Raw genomic sequence first — 21,605 nt, forward strand, 5'->3', positions numbered from 1 at the left:
CCCTAAAAGAGCTCCTGAAGGAAGCACTAAACATGGAAAGGAACAACCGGTACTAGCCACTGCAAAATCATGCCAAACTGTAAAGACCATTGAGGCTAGGAAGAAACTGCATCAACTAATGAGCAAAATCACCAGATAACATCATAATGACAAGATCAAATTCACACATAACAATATTAACTTTAAATGTAAATGGACTAAATGCTCCAATTAAAAGACAAAGAATGGCAAATTGGATAAAGAGTCAAGACCCATCAGTGTGCTGTATTCAGATAACCCATCTCACATGCAGAGACACACATAGGCTCAAAATAAAAGGATGGAGGAAGATCTACCAAGCAAATGGAAAACAAAAAAAGGCAGGGGTTGCAATCCTAGTCTCCGATAAAACAGACTTTAAACCAACAAAGATCAAAAGAGACAAAGAAGGCCATTACATAATGATAAAGGGATCAATTCAACAAGAAGAGCTAACTATCCTAAATATATAAGTACCCAATACAGGAGCACCCAGATTCATAAAGCAAGTCCTGAGTGACCTACAAAGAGACTTAGACTCCCACACAATAATAATGGGAGACTTTAACACCCCACTGTCAACATTAGACAGATCAACGAGACAGAAAGTTAACAAGGATACCCAGGAATTGAACTCAGCTCTGCACCAAGCGGACCTAATAGACATCTACAGAACTCTCCACCCCAAATCAACAGAACATACATTTTTTTCAGCACCGCACCACACCTATTCCAAAATTGACCACATAGTTGGAACTAAAGCTATCCTTGGCAAATGTAAAAGATCAGAAATTATAACAAACTGTCTCTCAGACCACAGTGCAATCCAACTAGAACTCAGGATTAAGAAACTCACTCAAAACTGCTCAACTACATGGAAACTGAACAACCTGCTCCTGAATGACTACTGGGTACATAACGAAATGAAGGCAGAAATAAAGATGTTCTTTGAAACCAATGAGAACAAAGACACAACATACCAGAATCTCTGGGACACATTCAAAGCAGTGTGTAGAGGGAAATTTATAGCACTAAATGCCCACAAGAGAAAGCAGGAAAGATCCAAAATTGACAGCCTAACATCACAATTAAAAGAACTAGAAAAGCAAGAGCAAACACATTCAAAAGCTAGCAGAAGGCAAGAAATAACTAAAATCAGAGCAGAACTGAAGGAAATAGAGACACAAAAAACCCTTCAAAAAATTTAATGAATCCAGGAGCTGGTTTTTTGATAGGATCAACAAAATTGATAGACTGCTAGCAAGACTAATAAAGAAGAAAAGAGAGAAGAATCAAATAGACACAATAAAAAATGATAAAGGGGATATCACCACCAATCCCACAGAAATACAAACTACCATCAGAGAATACTACAAACACCTCTATGCAAATAAACTAGAAAATCTAGAAGAAATGGATAAATTCCTTGACACATACACCCTCCCATGACTAAACCAGGAAGAAGTTGCATCTCTGAATAGACCAATAATAGAACCTGAAATTGTGGCAATAATCAATAGCTTACCAACCAAAAAGAGTCCAGGGCCAGATGGATTCACAGCCGAATTCTACCAGAGGTACAAGGAGGAACTGGTACCATTCCTCCTGAAACTATTCCAATCAATAGAAAAAGAGGGAATCCTCCCTAGCTCATTTTATGAGGCCAGCATCATCCTGATACCAAAGCCGGGCAGAGACACAACCAAAAAAAAGAATTTTAGACAAATATCCTTCATGAACATTGATGCAAAAATCCTCAATAAAATACTGGCAAACCGAATCCAGCAGCACATCGAAAAGCTTATCCACCATGATCAAGCGGGCTTCAACTCTGGGATGCAAGGCTGGTTCAATATACGCAAATCAATAAATGTAATCCAGCATATAAACAGAACCAAAGACAAAAACCACATGATTATCTCAATAGATGCAGAAAAGGCCTTTGACAAAATTCAACAACCCTTCATGCTAAAAACTCTCAATAAATTAGGTACTGATGGGACGTGTCTCAAAATAATAAGAGCTATCTATGACAAACCCACAGCTAATATCATACTGAATGGGCAAAAACTGGAAGCATTCCCTTTGAAAACTGGCACAAGACAGGGATGCCCAATCTCACCACTCCTATTCAACATAATGTTGGAAGTTCTGGCCAGGGCAATCAGGCAGGAGAAGGAAATAAAGGGTATTCAATTAGGAAAAGAGGAAGTCAAATTGTCCCTGTTTGCAGATGACATGATTGTATATCTAGAAAACCCTATTGTCTCAGCCCAAAATCTCCTTAAGCTGAGAAGCAACTTCAGCAAAGTCTCAGGATACAAAATCAATGTACAAAAATCACAAGCATTCTTATACACCAATAACAAACAGAGAGCCAAATCATGAGTGAACTCCCATTCACAATTGCTTCAAAGAGAATAAAATACCTAGGAATCCAACTTACAAGGGATGTGAAGGACCTCTTCAAGGAGAACTACAAACCACTGCTCAAGGAAATAAAAGAGGATACAAACAAATGGAAGAACATTCCATGCTCATGGGTAGGAAGAATCAATATTGTGAAAATGGCCATACTGCCCAAGGTAATTTATAGATTCAATGCCATCCCCATCAAGCTACCAATGACTTTCTTCACAGAATTGGAAAAAACTACTTTAAAGTTCATCTGGAACAAAAAAAGAGCCTGCATCTCCAAGTCAATCCTAAGCCAAAAGAACAAAGCTGGAGGCATCATACTACCTGACTTCAAACTATACTACAAGGCTACAGTAACCAAAACAGCATGGTACTGGTACCAAAACAGAGATATAGATCAATGGAACACAACAGAGCCCTCAGAAATAACGTCACATATCTACAACTATCTGATCTTTGACAAACCTGAGAAAAACAAGCAATGGGGAAAGGATTCCCTATTTAATAAATGGTGCTGGGAAAACTGGCTAGCCATATGTAGAAAGCTGAAACTGGATCCCTTCCTTACACCTTATACAAAAATCAATTCAAGATGGATTAAAGACTTAAACGTTAGACCTAAAACCATAAAAACCCTAGAAGAAAACCTAGGCATTACCATTCAGGACATAGGCATGGGCAAGGACTTCATGTCTAAAACACCAAAAGCAATGGCAACAAAAGCCAAAATTGACAAATGGGATCTAATTAAACTAAAGAGCTTCTGCACAGCAAAAGAAACTACCATCAGAGTGAACAGGCAACCTACAAAATGGGAGAAAATTTTCACAACCTACTCATCTGACAAAGGGCTAATATCCAGAATCTACAATGAACTCCAACACATTTACAAGAAAAAAACAACCCCATCAAAAAGTGGGCAAAGGACATGAACAGACACTTCTCAAAAGAAGACATTTATGCACCCAAAAAACACATGAAAAAATGCTCACCGTCACTGGCCATCAGAGAAATGCAAATCAAAACCACATTGAGATACCATCTCACACCAGTTAGAAAGGCAATCATTAAGAAGTCAGGAAACAACAGGTGCTGGAGAGGATGTGGAGAAATAGGAACACTTTTACACTGTTGATGGGACTGTAAACTAGTTCAACCATTGTGGAAGTCAGTGTGGCGATTCCTCAGGGATCTAGAACTAGAAATACCATTTGACCCAGCCATCCCATTACTGGGTATATACCCAAAGGACTATAAATCATGCTGCTATAAAGACACATGCACACGTATGTTTATTGTGGTACTGTTCACAATAGCAAAGACTTGGAACCAACCCAAATGTCCAACAATGATAGACTGGATTAAGAAAATGTGGCACATATACACCATGGAATATATGCAGCCATAAAAAATTGATGAGTTAATGTCCTTTGTAGGGACATGGATGAAATTGGAAATCATCATTCTCAGTAAACTATTACAAGAACAAAAAACCAAACACTGCATATTCTCAATCATAGGTGGGAATTGAACAATGGGAACACATGGACACAGGAAGGGGAACATCACACTCTGGGGACTGTTGTGGGGTGGGGCGAGGGGGGAGGGATAGCAATGGGAGATATACCTAATGCTAAATGATGAGTTAATGGGTGCAGCACACCAGCATGGCACATGTATACATATGTAACTAACCTGCACATTGTGCACATGTACCCTAAAACTTAAAGTATAATAATAAAATAAAAAAATTAAAAAATTTAAAAAAACTAAAAGTTCAATTCTCATAAAAAAAGTCAAATTTTGCTGTTAAACAAAAAAATAAAAATAAAAGCAGTAAATAAGTGTTTACTTATTCCATTAAGAGGTTAGAAAATAATCATTTTTTGCTTCAAATTGTGAAACGATGTTACCTCTAAATTTATATGTTGGGTGTTATTTCTCCACTGACCTCCTCGTGATTTCAACCTGATAATGTGGATGAGTCATTGAGATGAGTTTCCTCCTCATATTATCTCATTCCAGATCAGGAAGGACTATTTAGCTAACCACTTTTTTTTTTTTTTTTTACCTCTGAGGAAATTGCAGCCCAGACAGATGAAGTGACCAGATTGCGGTTGGTCAGCTGGCCAGTGTAGGAGCAGCAATTAGAGACCAGGCTTTCTCTCCATTATCCCAACTCCAGATTTCCAAATTGTACTTTTAAAAATCCAGTATCTTTTCCTAATGTAATAATTAAGAAATATCATATAAGCATAAGGAATACGTATTTTTCTTTATTAATTAGCCAGTGACTTGAAGAGCAAGCCTCTAAAAATAGGTAGTAAGTCTATTAAAAAAAAACCAAAAAACTAACTACTCTGTGTATTCACAGCACCAGGAGCTGGTTTATTTAAAAAAAAAAAATGCTCACGTTTAGTGTTTTATTTAGTTCTCACTGCAATCTTGTCAGCTGTTGTTATGAAGTTGACTTTATAGATGAGGAAACTTGATCAAAAAGACTAAATTATCCAGCTGTTAGATGGCAGATTCAGAACTCAAAAATGGCTTTATAAACTTGACTTTATTGCTTCCCCCATTTCAACACATTTCCTAATTCTTTTCATGACAGAGTTCCCCAGCTATCCCCCAGTGGCTTGGAGATTCCCATTTCAAGAGTGTAGAGTTCTACCCAGAAGGTGGCTGCGTGGACAGTGACTACATTCTCAGCTCCATGCCTATTTGGGTGAGGCCCTGTGATGAATGGTCATCAGTGGAATATGAGCAGAAGTGTTATGTGTCAGAAGAAGACATGCCTTCTCCATCCTTTCTTTTCCCCTACCCTCTGGTTTGTGTTGGTTTCCAGGGTGTCCTTGGGAGGGGTTTGGGCCATAATTTCAAAAGACACAGTGCTAAATACCACAATCCCAAATGTTGAAATCTGGAAAGATCAAAATCTCTAAAGGAAGGCACACATTTAAGATGGCAAAGCCACTGTGCCTTTGTCCCTAAATAAGAGTGGGGCAACTGTGCCTTTCACCACTCTGCTGTTAACCAGTTATACACACAATGAACTGTTACGTTAGCAAAAAAAATGTTTCTTGTAAAGGCCACTGAAATTGTGGAGTTTGTCTGTTACAGTAACTAGCAGTACTCTAACTAAAATGAGCGTCTTTCATAATAGAGATGAGAATTCAGATTTCTACTATTCTCTGACAAATCTCCATAACACTTATTTACCAAACCACTGATTTTAATTGTGCTGAACGGAAATGATCATGGAGAGTCACTTTTCCAATGACCTCTCTGTCCCTTGGTTTTCCATTGTTTAAGGTGAATGATAATTTCTATCTTTTATTTCTATTTGTGGTATCCAAACAAAATCATCATAAAAACTCCATTATGGCATAGTTAATTGTAAAATAAATATATATGACCAAAAAAATTAAAAAGACTTCCCTCTTTTAAACCTTTCCAAGCAATTCCCATCTTCAAAGGTAATTTTGAGGAACATGTACTTCTCTGACTGGGAAGCGGGTGGTGATCTGGAATTAATCAGTGAGGATTTATTGAGTTTCCTAAAGTGTATGACTTACGCATGGGTTTCCCTGCTCGTTGGCAACTCTCAAAGCCTTAACCCTGAGGATGCTCCCCCAAGAAAACATAGCACCTGTTTTCTGGGCACTGGTTCCAAAACATGGCCTGAAACACTATGCCAAGAGCTCAAATCTCTTGTATTTCCCACCACACAGATGGTCTGAGGCCTTCACTCCTCACCCTTCCTGGATGTGGTTGCGCCAGAGGTGAGTAGGAGAAAGAATGCTTTTGAGAAAGGTACCTTGAGAATTTATCTTGACAACTCCTCCTCATCCTAGGCTTTGCACTTTCTCTGTCCCTGAAACTTCAAGGTGTTGTTCCTCTTAATATTTCAAGTCTAAACCCTGAATCCAAGACCCGAAAGGAAAGGAAGTTTTGCCCACAAAGCAGCTCCCACAGCAAATGATGAATGCTCCAAGTGCTTTCTGGGGGGAAAAAAAACGCTGAAACAGAGTTTAGTCACTAGAGTAAATCCCCACAGAAAAAGAAATAAATCTCTGTGACATCTGCTAATGTCTGCCATTTCCTTAAACACCTCTACCTGTCCAGTTTCCGTACCTCTTTTCCCCTTTCCCCAATGCTGCTTTTGTTCTGTTTTTGGCCTTCAGGGGATGATTTAGTGAGCAGATGGTACCAGGAAAACCAAGGGTATTGCATCCAGCTGTGTGTACACAGATTGGTGAATTCAAGCCTCTGATCTAGGATCTGAAATAAAAATCAGAATAAGCGAAAAGATGGTTGCTTTTTTTCATGCCTTATTTGTTCATTTGCTCAAGAAGCGTTTGCTATTTGCCTATGGTGTTAGTATTGTTTAAGACAATAGAGAAACACAGATTAAAAAGACACCATCTCTGTTTTTCAGATGCAAGTTATGTACTTAAGGACCCCAAAACTATAAAACCAAACCATGAAGAATGAGAGATTTAGCACTAATAAAATGGAAAACATTCACACGTTGGAACACATGATACATTTGAGTCAGGAAAAGTGCGCTCTTGTTTTATTTATTTGCTTATTTGTAGGAGGATTTCCCTGGGATGAATTATGAGAAATATGACATTGGCCTAAAACACCTGGCAAAAGATCCTTGGGCTGCAGGTATTTTGAGTCAGACTCTAAGTATAACCCAAGGTTCAGATTTGTTCCTCTCAGTTTAAGAGGTGAATGAGGAATATAGAAGAACGCAGTGAAGATTCACAAAGGTGACAAAGGCCTGGAAAAGAAGGCTCTGACAGAGCCGATGGAAGCAATAAGAGGTCCCATTATAGCTGAATTTATAATCAGCTCTACCATGGATCAAACCCCAAATAGTCCCAAAGGGACTGTGCAGACTAAACTTCCACATAGAACTTCCACTCTTTGGTGGCTATTTTGATGTCAGAATGGGCCTATCCAAAGCTGCCACATGAGTCACCTTGAACTCTGCCTGCTTTGCATTATTGCCTCTGGATTCTCTTCCCTGGAGTTTCTTCAGGCAGCTGGACTGCATTGTGCCATGACATGCTCCTCATTTTCCCCATAAACATCTCTGATTGAAGGCAGATGACACACGACCTTTAGCTCACCCTTAGGAATCTTTGCTAAGCCTGGTTTAGTACAGCTAGGTTGTAGCATGGATGTTATTCCTATCTTCCAACCTTATGGGTCATGGGTTATATAGAACTCCATCTGTTGTGCATTGCCAGGAAGACCAGAACCAGACTGAAATGGTGTTTAAGTTAAACATCCAGATAATTAGACCCTGAACCCAACTATTGAGAAAAACCACACCTTTAGAAGTCTTTACGAACACTATAGACACTCACCTGTCTTAGATACTCAAATACAATTCCCCATAAAAAAGGATTTCTTGATATTCCCTCCAACACTGTAACTGAATAGCCCAAAAACACAGGTGCTGGCTTTTCTCCTAGTTTTACTTTCTACTTCGTCCATATGTTTGGAGAGTGTAGGAATAGATGGGATGTAATTAATCTGCAAATAAACCATAGGTATCATATAGCTCTTTCATGGGTCTGGAAAATGTCCCAGTAATTTTTAAATCTGGTTATCTCTTGCTCCATTTAAATTCATTTAATCAGCTTGATTCTTGTGGCATCCTCTTCTGTGTCTTCCATCATCTTCATCACCATTCCCATAATCATCACTGAACTATATTGAGTTCTCACTCTATGATAGATTCCATGCCAAAGGCTTTACATATATCATCTCTTATAAACCTCTCAATAACTCTATTAAGTACATGCTACTATTGTCCCCGTTTCGCATGTGAGGAAATAGACTGGAAGAGATTATGTGACTTATGCACTGGTAATGATTACATCTATTTTGGGGACTACCCTAAGGCATCCAATAAGTAACTATTCTTTTGACCTGGGGCCTCATATTTATGGAGTGATTTCTGCATTTCTTAAATTAATTTCAAGTGAATGAAATATGCTGAGCTCTTTACTCTCAAAGTCTCTATGCTACTCATTCCTCTCTGCTGTTGGTCTACTAGTTTAAATATTTCAGTATCTTAATATAGATATAATTTATGTTATTGCCACCTACTCTTCTCCTCTCTTGTCCTTGCTCTCATCTCTCAGTCTCATCTTTATTCTCACCACCCTCATGTATGAGACTTCTAGGCACCTCTCCTTCCACCTTTCTGCTCCCTGCTACTTACACAAGGTACAAAGCACATGACAAGGGTACAGAGGAGCCCTGTCTCATACAGGCCTGTATTACAGGGGCTTTATTTGCAAGAAGTCTCTTTATGACAAAGAAAGAAACTTTCCTGCTCTCAAAAACTACTGGGCAAGTTTCCAAACTCCCAATGAAGTAATTTATTCCACACACACAAAAAAGAAAAGAAACACAACTAACTGTCTCGAGCATTTTATGCACCTGACACCATCACATTAGTGGCATCAGATTACATATTCAGTAAGGACTTCTACCACATGCTGTTGTAATTAACCACATGGAAATGTGTAGGCCAGGACCCCTCAGTTACATAGTACAACACACAGAGCAGTAAGAACTAAAAAATGCCCTTGGAACAGAATGTTATATCTCATTAGGAAATGAAATTGTGACTTTCCTGGGAGTGACAGCTCTGGCAGGAAGGAATGGAGGTCTGGATTTCTAATTATCACCAGTATCACTACTCTTTAATCCTCCAGATCTCTGTCAGGTCTTTGATAAAGAATCTCTAAGAAAACGTTGAGATGGTTTCACTGAGGCATGGCCTAGGGCAGTACCTATAGATTTTTAATGCCTGATCAACCATGAGCACCCACTTGGGAACCCAGTATAGGGAATTCACTAGCTCTTAACCCATACATTGCATTGAGACCAAGGGAGGTCCGTCCAGTTATGCCTGTGGTACTTGACCCAAGGCAGCTAAAATAACACCTAGGAATTCTGCTGAAACGATTCTCCCTGCTTTCAACTTTTCTGAGGACCCTGGCACCCTCAAGCTCTCTGCATGCTGCCAAGGGCTCCCAGCCCTGTCTTCCTTCCCTGCTCAGAGTTAGATATCTGGACCTACTTCCCTCTCTCTGCTCCTACCACCTCCACCTGTTGAGAGCCTCATTCCTAACAGGTGCTTCTGATTTAGTTTTGGAATTGTTACTATCTGACTAGGAAAGTAGGAGGTTAAGAGGCATTATTTTCTAACAGATCTTTGCTGTCTTCAATTACAATGGGATATATTAACCAATAACTCTGCTGATTGATATAAGAAAGTGAAGGAACAAAACAACAATTGAGGAGCCTTATCATGGAATCTTGTGTTCTGACTCCCAATCAGCTGAAGGCTGCAGAGCCCTCAAAATATGTATAATTTTAGTACTGAGCAAATACCTGTTCTGTGGAAGCATGTATACAATCAATGCCAATTGTTAAATTATAAGTTGAGGAATAGGCATTGGTCACGAAGGTGGTATAGAGATGAATGGGCCACTGTCTACAAGTAACACACCCAGAAGCAGAACCAACACCCCTTGGGAAGATTAGCATGGAACATACTCTTTTTCCCATTTGTCAGTAAATATTTAAGTATCTGAATATAGATAGAATTTATGTTATTGCCACCTACTATTATATACTGTGGCAGAGACAGTGCTATGTGCTCGTGAATCCTTATTTCTTTTTCTTCTAGGCAAAACTAGACCACATTTTGCAGCTTCCCCTGAAGTTAGTGGAAGCCATATCAATGAGTTCTGGCCAACAGAATGTAGGCAGAGGTGATGCTAAGGCACTTCTTGACCTAGTCCCTAAACCAACCTCCTGTGTGGTCCTCCATGAGCTCTCTTTCTCCATTTACCAGCCTAATGCAGCAAAGGACAAACACTAAACAACAGCAGAGTCATGCTATAAATGGCACCCGAGGCCCTGAATAACTGTGTGGAGAAGAACACACACAACTGCCATTCCTTCCCCTCCTTACCCTTATTGGACTGTACTGTGAGCAAGAAAGCAACTCTCCTTGTCTCAAACATACCCCAAATATCAGTGGCTTGTTACAACCATTTTCCTGATTAACAAAATGGACTTCCCTTGTGTTCAGGAAGATTCACTGGGTACCAGTGGAATAATTAGTGCAGTGAGTGCCAGGACACAAATTAAAAAATAAATTACCATAGCATATGGCTTCTAGGTAGATGCCAATTATATCTTCCTTCTGAAGTAGGAAAATTTGAGCTTATTGTTGTGGAGAAATATTTGTTTTTCTTCCCATCTTCCTGTGTTCCTTCCTGAATAATAACGCTGACCCTCCTTGCGAGGCAGGGCTCTTTCTACCCACATTTGTGGCCTGATGAGACCCCGTGGCTGTGTGCAGGGCATTCTACAACCACTCAGTGGTTTTCGGCTGAATGAATTCAAACAAAAAGAATGTGGTGATGCAGGCAGTAATCTCAGCCCCTTGGGTTCCTTGGCCTTTCACAGAGAGCTTATGTCCACAGCCAAAGCACTTAGGATTCAAAACCCCTATGAGTGTATAGTGTACGGGAGGGAGGAAATGACTTAGATGAGGGTTTTAAGTTCAGCCTGTGCTCAACAGTTAAATTCAATTTAAAGACTTCCCAAAACCTTTCTGAAATTACAAAAGGGCCATGAGAAATCAGTTTCTTTCTTTTGTGGTTGCAGATTTAATTCTGCAGTTCATGAAGTTATGTCAAAGTGGTTGCATAACACTGCAAGCTGTCACTGATGGAAATGAGGATGATTTCTTCTTTTTGTTAAATAACTAGAGTTATCCCACAAACATTCAGTCCCCACTATTGTGTTAGACGTATGACCATGATTCCTGCCCCCAGAGAATTCTAAACGTGGTGAAACATCCGTTGAAAATGCCTTAGAAAGGAAAATGCCAATGGTAGAACTGGTGCCTCAGAGGTTAAACTTGAAAAGCCCATCCCTGGAAGGAAAGGCTTGAAAGTCTGAAGAAAATACTTGGGTAAAGTTACAGAACTGAGAGGGCTGCTGGTGACTGGAGACACCTTCTCCGATCACATTCCCTGCCTCTGCATGGTCAGCACCACAGAAAATCTGCCTGCTCCTAAATTGTTCCTCACAACCCAAGTGAAGGTTTAGGATTACAACCTGGGAGACAGCCAGCTCTAGCATCCTGAACCCCTTTATCCCTACTTGGTGTGCTGTACTATTTTTTCTTTAATACCAAAGGGTCTAACCTTAGATGTTAGAAATATGGTTCCCATCCCATAAGTCATTAGTAATATGACCTTGAGCAAGTCCCTTCTCTAATTTGTATTCTATGAACTGAAGGGTCTATTACATGAAGGCACATAATAAATGTGTTAATTTGAAATCCCCTAACTGCTCCATAATTTGTAACATCATTTAAAATGGAAAAGCTCTGTTAGAATACTGCTCCCTAACCTGGGAGTACATGAAAATCACCGAAAAAGAGGTTTTCTTAGTTGTGATAGGGACAGGAGGCAGGAGAATTCTGGGAAGAAGAGGGTGGGTCCCCAGTGAGGGCCCCACTCTCAAGCCTGGAACTGCAGCTCAAAATGAGAACATGCATTCCTGTTTTCCTGCTCAAATGTTGCCTTTTCCAAAACCACCCATGGGCCACCTGGCCCCAGATCCTGTGCCCATAAAAACCCCAGGCTCCACCAACAGAGAGCAGAGAAGAGAAGCAGCAGCTGGACGTCTGTGACTACAGTTGGATGTCAGAGAGAGGCAGCTTAATTTCAGAGGGTTGGCTTGATGGTGTTGCTTCAGAGAGGAGTCTGGTGGGAGACAGCTGGACTCTGAGGGATCATTTTCCCACTCCATCCCCTTTCAGCTCCCCTTCCTGTTGACAGCCACTTTCATTGGCAATAAAATCCTCCCTATTCACCACTCTTCAATTCGTTTGTGCAAGCTGATTCCTCCTGGATGCCGAATAAGAGCTCAGGTGCCACGGGTGTGGATGCTAAAGGCTGTCACACAGAACCTCTGCCCATGCTGGTGGAGAGCAACTGCCTCATACAAAAAGGCAGAGGGCCCACTAAGCTGTTTAACATTTAAGCCATTTGTGGACAGCAAAGTTAAAAGAGCACAGTAACATACACCCTCTGGGGCTTCAGGATTGCAGGCACCCACTAGATGCTGCCATGGGGCCCCACATGGAGTTTGCCCCAGCTGGCACCCAAAACTGCTCACTGCAGCTCCTGCACCCACTCACCTGGGCACTCCCTCCCACAAGGGGTGAAGCACAATGCGTCCAAGTGAGGGGAGTTTGCCCCTGCCAATGCCGAAGCAGCCAGCTAGATCCAGCACCAGTCCACTCCAGTTCCCGTGAGGGGGTCAGGGAAATTTCTTGCTTCAGTTGCCTTTTTGTTTGTTTGTTTGTTTGTTAAGATATAACTAACACACAATAAAATGCACAAATCTTTTTTTTTTTTTTTTTTTTGCTGGAGTGCAGTGGCATGATCTTGGCTCACTGCAAACTCCGCCTCCCAGGTTCAAGCCATTCTCCTGCCTCAGCCTCCTGAGTAGCTGGGACTACAGGTGCCTGCCACCATGCCCGGCTAATTTTTTGTACTTTTAGTAGAGACGGGGTTTCACCGTGTTAGCCAGGATGGTCTCTATCTCCTGACCTCATGATTCACCCATCTCAGCCTCCCATAGTGCTGGGATTACAGGCATGAGCCACCACACCCAGCCTAAAATGCACAATTCTTAAGTAGAGTCAATGTGTTTTGACAAATGTATACACCTGTGGAACTATCACCTCACTCCAAACAAAGCATTGCTAAAGAAGTTTCCCTTGTGCAACTGCCTAGTTAATCTCTTCTGACCCACAGTCAAACACCCTTTGACTTCTGTCACTATTTAAGTGGAATTAAAAGTCTGTATTCCTTAGTATCCGGCTTCTTTCACTCATAGTATCTATGAAATTCAGTCATTCATTTCTTTTTATTGTTTAGTAGTATTCCATTGGATGAATATCTTGCTATAGACAGAATGGTGTCCCCCAAATTTCATATGTTGAAGTCCTGTTCCCAATGTGATTGAATTTGGAGATAGGGATTTTAGAAGTTAATTAAGATTTGATGAGGTCACAAAGGTAGGGTCCTAATCCAATATAATTTGTGGCCTTGTAAGAAGAGGAAGAGATTCTCTCTCTCTCCTCTCCCATCATGTATGCACCAAGGAAAGGCCATGTGAGGACATAACAAGAGAGTGGTCATCTACAAGCCAAGAAGAAAGCCCTCCCCAGGAACTGAATTAACCAAGACCTTGATCTTGGACTTCACAGCCTCCAGAATTGTGAGAAATAAATTTTTGTTGTTTAGACCCTCAGTCTATGGTATTTTATTATGCCCAAGCTGACTAAGACAATACCACGATCTGTTTATCCATTCATTTGTTGATGGACATTTCAATTGTTTCTAGTTTTGCCTATGATTAATACAGCTATTAAAAATATTTGCATATAGGTTATTGTAAAATCATGTTTTCATTTCTCTTAGATAAATACCTAAGAGTAGAATTGTTGTGTCATGTAGTAAGTATATATGTAACCTTATTTTAAAAGCTGCTAATTTTTTAAAGTAGCTGTACCATTTTACATTCCAACCAGAAACATTTGAGAGTCCTAGTTGCTCCACATCCTCATCAACATTTAGCATATTACGATATTTTGTTTCAGCTATTCTTATGGGTGTGAAGCATTATTGCATGATGGTTTTAATTTGCATTTTTCTCTGAGGACCTATTGGTGATGAGCACTTTTTCATATGCATATTGGTCATTTGTATAACATTTCTTGTGAATTGTCTGTTCAAGTCTTTTGCCTATTTCTCTATTGGGTTCATTGTCTTTTTATCGTAGAATGATATACATTCTGTATATATTCTGAATACAAGTGCTTTTTTAGGTACATGTATTACAAATATTTCCTTCCAGCCAATGGCCTGTATATTCATTCCCTTGACTGTGTCTTCTGATAAGCAGTAATTTTGATGAATTTTGATGAAATTTTGATATAAGTCTAATCTATCAGTGTTTTCATTCATGGTTATTCTTTCAGCATACAGTCTAAGAAATCTTTACCAACCTCATAGTCACCAAGATATTCTCTTTTGTTTTTTTCTAATAACTTCATAGTTTAGCTTCTATTCTTAAGTCTATGATTCATCTGTAATTTTATGATGATGGGATGCAGAAGATCAATTTTTTCCATGTAATTATAAAAAATTACCATGTAAGGGTCATTTTTTTCATATAATTATCCAGTTGTTCTAGCACCTTTTATTGAAAACGCTTTGCTTTCCCACATTAAATTGCATTACTTTGTTAAAAATTTATTAAATGTGTAAGTGTAGGTTGATTATTGTACTCTCTATTCTGCCCATTTATCTATTTGTCTGTCCTTACACCAATAACACACTATCCTAATAATAGTAGCTTTGTATAAATCTTAAAATTTGATTCTGTAAGTCCTCCAACTTTGTTCTTTTATAAAACTTATTTTGGCTATTGCAAGTCCTTTGAATTATTTCATAAATTTTAAAATTAGCTTGTCAATTTCTACAAAAAAGCCCACTGGGATTTCAAAATGACATCCTAATAATGGTGCATCTTTCAACTCAATATATCTTTCTTTTTATTTGGAGAGCCTTGTTAAGTCCTCTCAACACTGTTTATTTTGATTACATATATGTTGTATAATTTTTGTTAAATTCAATCCTAAATATTTTCTGCTATGATGTTATTATAATTGGCACAGTTTTAAATTTTATTTTCCAGTTGTTCATTGCCAATTCATAGAAATAAAATTCACTTTTATACATTGACTGAAATCTTGCTAAATCATGTATTAGTTCTAGTAGGTTTCTTTGGTTTTTTTTGTTTTTAATAGACTTTATTTTTAGAGCAGTTTTAGGTTCACAGCAAAACTGATGGAAGATACAGAGATGTACCATATACTGCCTGCCCCAAAACATGCACAGTCTCCCCCATTATCAGCATCTCCCTCCGGAGTGGTACATTTGTTACAATATCAATGAACCTACATTCATACATTATCACTCAGCACCCATAGATTATATTAGGGCTCACTCCTGGTGATGTATCCATTCTTGGTAGGTTTGAAACCAATCTATAATGGCATGTATCTACCATTATAGTATCATACAGAGTAGTTTTATGTTCCTAAGATTCCTCTGTGCACCACATCATCCTTCTCTCCATATGTCCTACCACCTAGCAATCACTGTTATTTTTACAGTCTCTATAGTTTTGCCATTTCCAGAATGCCATATAGTTAGATTCACACAGCATGTAGCCTTTTCAAATTGGCTTTTTTCATTTGGTAATATGCATCTAAGTTTCTTTCACATCTTTTCATGGTTTTATTGCTTATTTCTTTTTAGCACTGAATAATATTCCATTGTCTGTATGTAACACAGAATTTATCCATTCATCTACTTAAGGATTCAACTCAAAATGAATTAAAGACTTAAATCTAGACCTGAAAGCATAAAATTCTTAGAAAAAAAATAGGAAAAAGTCTTCTTAACCTTGGCCTTGGCAATAATTTTTCTATTATTGCTTATGATAATAGATAAGCACAGGCATCAAAAGCACAGGCATCAAAACCAAGTTAAACAAGTGGGACTACATCAAGCTAAACAGCTTCTGCACAACAAAGGAAACAATCAACAAATGAAAAGGCAACCTATGGAACGCTAGAAAATATTTGTAAACCATATATCTAGTAAAGGTTAATATCCAAAATATATAAGGAATTCACACAACTCAATAGCAAAAGTACAAATAACCCAATTTAAAAATGGGCAAAGGACCCGAATAGGCATTTTTCCAAATAAGACATCCAAATGACCAACAGGTATATGAAAAGGTGTTCAATATCACTAATCATCAGAGAAATGCAAATCAAAAGCACAGGGAGCTATCACCTCATGCCTGTTAAAATGGCTATTATAAAAAAGACAGGAGATAACAAGTGTTAGAGATGATGTGACACAAAGGTAATCCTTGTATAATATTGGTTGGAATGTAAATTGGTACAGCTATTATGTAAGACAGTATGGTCGTTCCTCAAAAAATCCAAAATAAAACTGCCATATGATATAGCAATCCCACTTTGGGGTATATATCCAAAGGAAATTACAAGAGTATCTAAAAGAGATAACTGCATCCCACATTCATTGCAGCACTGTTCACAATACCCAAGGTATGGAGACAACCTAAGTGTTCATCAATAGATAAATGGACAAAAAAATTATGGTATATGTATGGTATATATACACATACACATAATGAAATACCATTCAGCCATAAAAAAGAAAATCTTGCCATTTGTAACAACATGAATGAACCTGGAGGACATTATGCTAAGTGAAATAAGCCAGACATAGAAAGACAAATACTGCATGATCTCACTTATATGTGGAATCTAAAAAAGTCAAACTCTGAGAAGCAGAGAGTAGAATGGTGATTACCATGCGCTGGGGTGTGGGGAAAATGTTGGTCAAAGGGTACAAAGTTTCAGTTACTCAGGATGAATATTTTCTGGAGATTAAATTTATAGGATAATGACTATGGTTAAGAATACTGTATTGTATACTAGACATTTTCTGGAAGAACAGATCTTGATTGTTCTTACCAAAAAAAAAAAAAAAAGGTAACTTTGTAAGGTGATTGATATATTAATTAGTTTGGTTGTGGTCATCATTTCACAATATATATGTATAACAAAACACCATGTTGTATACCTTAAATATATACAATTTTTATCTGTCAATTATACCTTAATGAAGCAATGGTAGGGGAAATACACTTGGTTCTTTTGTAGCAGTTTTCATTTCTTTCCTAAAATACCCCACCTGTCAATTTTGATATCTACATTTTATAAATTCTTTTATACATTTATAATATTTGTTTAAGGTCCTTGTTGATTAATTCTTAAAAACCAGTCATCTGTCTGGTTTCATTTATTATGCTCTCTCTTGATTATAGGCCACACTTTCCTGCTTCTTCACATCTTATAATTACTATTATATTCTGAACATTGTGTAAAATAAAACTTTGGAGACCAAGTATATTGTTTTATTTTGTTTATTTTCCTTTCCTCTGTATGGTGGTCATAGTAAGATATTAATGATTCAAATATCTTCTAAAGTTAACTTTAGATGGGATTGGGTCATAGCTTTAATCAGATTGATTTCATCTTTGATTAGCATAACCCCTCAAATTGATTTAACACTATAATTTCCATATGGCTATTTGTGTATTACAATTTCATTGAGAGACACATGATAACTTGCTCTACAGTCTTGAAAAGCAAATAGTTCCAAGAATTCTTCTGATCACAGCTTTTGGTCAGAACAAGAGCATCAACCACAATGTGAATATGTTGAACATCTACTATGTTATGGCATGAAATTATGTGGTGGGGATATGGACATTCCCTGCCCTCAAGGGCCATTAAAATCTAGCTGGGGAGACAGGGAAGATACCTAGAAATGTAAATAATGTGGTAAAGAAGAATTTTAAAAATATGCCAAATAGCTGGGACCAGCAATAAATGTAGCTCTCTAAAAAAGCAGTCACAGAAGGCTCTGGTGAGTAGAAAAGATTTCATGTGGGAGATGAGACTTAAGAAAATGTAAGGTAATTTAGACAGGTTCAGGGAGGCCTTTTTGAAAAAGGGAATGTCATGAACATAACATGGTGCATATTTGAGAGGAGAAGGCTAGAAGATTACAAAGATTAGGAGATGTTTTATTTTGGAGGGTCTAGGAATTTGGCTTTGCATGGGCATTAATGCAAATCCAAAGTCCTAGTATCAATGTAGTAGACATGGAATCAGAGCCAGACTATGAAAACATTGATTTTGCAGTAATCTGTGAATAGTGACCATGCTTATTTGCCCTCAGACCCATTTTTTTTGCCCTCCCCCTGTTCTGTATCATAGTGGGGCTAACCCCACTGGATCTACATAGCTACTGGATCTATTTGACCTGTAAAATTGAGGAGTGGGAATGAGGATTAAGATGGCAGACAGCAGACAGCACTAGCTTGCACCTCCCACTTGGATGGACAAAGCAGTGTGTGGAGATTTGCATCGTGAATTTTTGCTCCAAGAACTACCACAGGAACATACCAGGAAACCTGAGAGGACCCAGAGACCCTTTGAAGGAACTGTGATAACCACTACAGGCTCCCTGAGATGCTGAAAAACTGTGAATCTGCTTGCTTTCTCAATGAGAAGGCTTTTGGTTTCGGGCAAGTTTTCAGCCCTGGTCACCAGCTGCCTGGAAATAGACTCGGTGTTATTGCGGGGGACAGTGGGAGTGAGGCCAGCCTTTAGGACTGTGGGCTACATGGGAGTGGGGTGAGTCTGTGACTGCCAGCTTTCCCTCACTTCTTTGGTGACCTGTGTGACTCAGCAGAGACAGCCATAATCTCCCTGGGACTATCACTCCATTGGACTGGGAACCACACCACCATCCCCCACAGCAGCTGCAGCAAGCCCCGCCCAAGATGAGGCTGAGCTCAGACAGGCCTATCCCTGCCCCAACCTGCTGGTCTTTCTCTATCCACCCTGGTAGCCAAAGGAAAAGGTCATAATCTCTTCGGAGCTCTGTGGCCCTACCCACTGCCTACGAAACCTGAATACTTAACCAAGTATCCCTAGGGCGAATTTGAATCCTCCTTATAGGACTGGAGCTGATGCACTCTTGAAAGTGCCACCTCCTGGCTGGAGGGCAATCAACCTTAAAACCAGTGCACTAAACAGAAACACAACCAAGGACCCTCACCAGAGTCCACTTCACTCCGCTGCTATCTCCACTGGAGCAGGTGCTGGTATCCATGGCTGCAAGACCTGAAGACAGATTACATCACAGGACTCTTTGCAGACACTCCCCAGTACCAGCTCAGAGCCCAGTAGCTCCTCTGAGTGGCTAAACCCAGAAGAGAAAAAACAATCACTACAATATGGCTCACAGGAAGCCCCATTTGTAAGTGAAAAGGGAGGACACCACATCAAGGGAGCACCCTGTGTGAAAAAAGAATCTGATCAGCAGCCCTTGAATCCCAGATTGCCCCTCTGACATAGTCTACCCAAATGAGAAGGAACCAAGAAAACAATTCTGGTAATATGATAAAACAAGGTTCTTTAACATCCCCAAAAGGTCATACCAGCTAACCAGCAATGGATCCAAACCTAGAAGAAATCTCTGAATTGCCAGAAAAAGAATTCAGAAGGGTGATTGTTAAGCTAATCAAGGAGGCACCAGAGAAATATGAAGTCCAACTTAAAGAAATCAAAAACATGCTACAGGATATGAAAGGAAAATTCTTCAGTGAAATAGACAGCATAAATAAAAAACAATCACAACTTCTGGAAATCAAGGACACACTTAGAGAAATGCAAAATGCACTGGAAACCCTCAGCAATAGAATTGGACAGGCAGAAGAAATAACTTCAGAGCTCAAATGCAAGGCTTTTGAATTAACCCAATCTGCCCAAGACAAAGAAAAAAAGAATTTTAAAAAATGAACATTGGGAGGCCGAGGCGGGTGGATCACGATTTCAGGAGATCGAGACCATCCTGGCTAACATGGTGAAACCCCGTCTCTACTAAAAATACAAAAAATTAGCCGGGCGTGGTGGCAGGCGCCTGTAGTCCCAGCTACTCGGGAGGCTGAGGCAGGAGAATGGCATGAACCCGGGAAGCGGAGCTTGCAGTGAGCCGAGATCTCGCCACTGCACTCCAGCCTGGGTGACACAGCGAGACTCTGTCTCAAAAAAAAAAAAAAAAAAAAAAGGAATAAAGCCTCCCAGAAGTTTGAGACTATGTTATACGTGCAAACCCGAAGAAGAGAAATCTAAAAGTTTGGAAAACATATTTGAGGGAATGGTCTAGGAAAACTTTCCAGCCTTGCTAGATATCTAGACATCCAAATACAAGAATCTGAAAGAACACCTGGGAAATTCATCACAAAAGGATCATCACCCAGGCAAATAGTAATCAGGTTATCTAAAGCCAAGACAAATGGAAGAATCTTAAGAGCTGTGAGGCAAAAGCATCAGGTAACCTATAAAGGAAAACCTATCAGATTAACAGCAGATTTCTAAGCAGAAACCCTACAAGCTAGAAGGGACTGGAGTCCTACTTTTAGCCTCCTTAAACAAAACACTTATCAGCTGAGAATTTTGTATCCAGTGAAACTAAGTCTCATAAATGAGGAAAGATACAGTCTTTTCCAGACAAACAAATGCTGAGAGAATTCACCATTACCAAACTAGAAATACAAGAACTGCTAAAAGGAGCTCTAAATCTTGAAACAAATCCTCAAAATACAACAAAATAGAACCTCCTTAAAACATAAATCTTACAGGACCCATATAACAATAACACAATGAAAACAACACACAAGATATTCAGGCAACAAATAGCATGATGGATAGAATAATATCTCACATCTCAATACTAATATTGAATGTAAATGGCCTAAATGCTCCACTTAAAAGATTCAAAATGGCAGAATGGATACGAATTTACCGACCATGTTTCTGCTATCTTCGGGAGACTTAACTAACACATAAGGACTCATATAAATTTAAGGTAAAGTGGTGGAAAAAGATATTCCATGGAAATGGACACCAAAATTGAGCAGGAGTAGCTATGCTTATATCAGACAAAACAAACTTTAAAGCAACAGCAGTTAAAAAAGACAAAGAGAGACATTATATAATGATAAAAGGACTAGTCCAACAGGAAAACACCACAATTCTAAATATATATGCACCTAACACTGGAGCTTCCAAATTTATAAAACAATTACTACTAGACCTAAGAAATGAGATAGACAGCAACACAATAATAGTGGGGGACTTCAATACGCCACTGACAGCACTAGATGGGTCATCAAGACAGAAAGTCAACAAAGAAACGATGGATTTAAACTATACCCTACAACAAATGGGCTTAACAGATATTTACAGAACATTCTACCCATCATCTGCAGAATATACATTCTATTCATCAGCACATGGAACGTTCTCCAAGATAGACCATATGATAGGCCACAAAATAAGTCTCAGTAAATTTAAG

The 21,605-nt window shown here is 39.1% G+C and overlaps 1 long non-coding RNA gene across 10 annotated transcripts in view; it reads left to right on the top strand.

The window, feature by feature from the left end:
* LINC02932 (long intergenic non-protein coding RNA 2932) overlaps positions 1-6,745 on the top strand; it is a 204,101-nt gene extending 197,356 nt beyond the window's left edge. For 6 of the 10 annotated variants that reach the window (NR_183367.1, NR_183369.1, NR_183374.1 and 3 more), the window contains one exon: positions 5,048-5,889. This is a non-coding gene — a long non-coding RNA (long intergenic non-protein coding RNA 2932). Of the gene's footprint in view, positions 1-5,047; positions 5,890-6,167; positions 6,219-6,620 lie in introns of those variants that run through there. The other 4 variants (NR_183366.1, NR_183372.1, NR_183368.1 and 1 more) reach the window with 1 other exon arrangement.
* The last annotated feature ends 14,860 nt before the right edge of the window (positions 6,746-21,605 follow it).

The sequence above is a fragment of the Homo sapiens genome, chromosome 7 (assembly GCF_000001405.40).
Source record: "Homo sapiens chromosome 7, GRCh38.p14 Primary Assembly".
Classification (NCBI taxonomy): domain Eukaryota; kingdom Metazoa; phylum Chordata; class Mammalia; order Primates; family Hominidae; genus Homo; species Homo sapiens.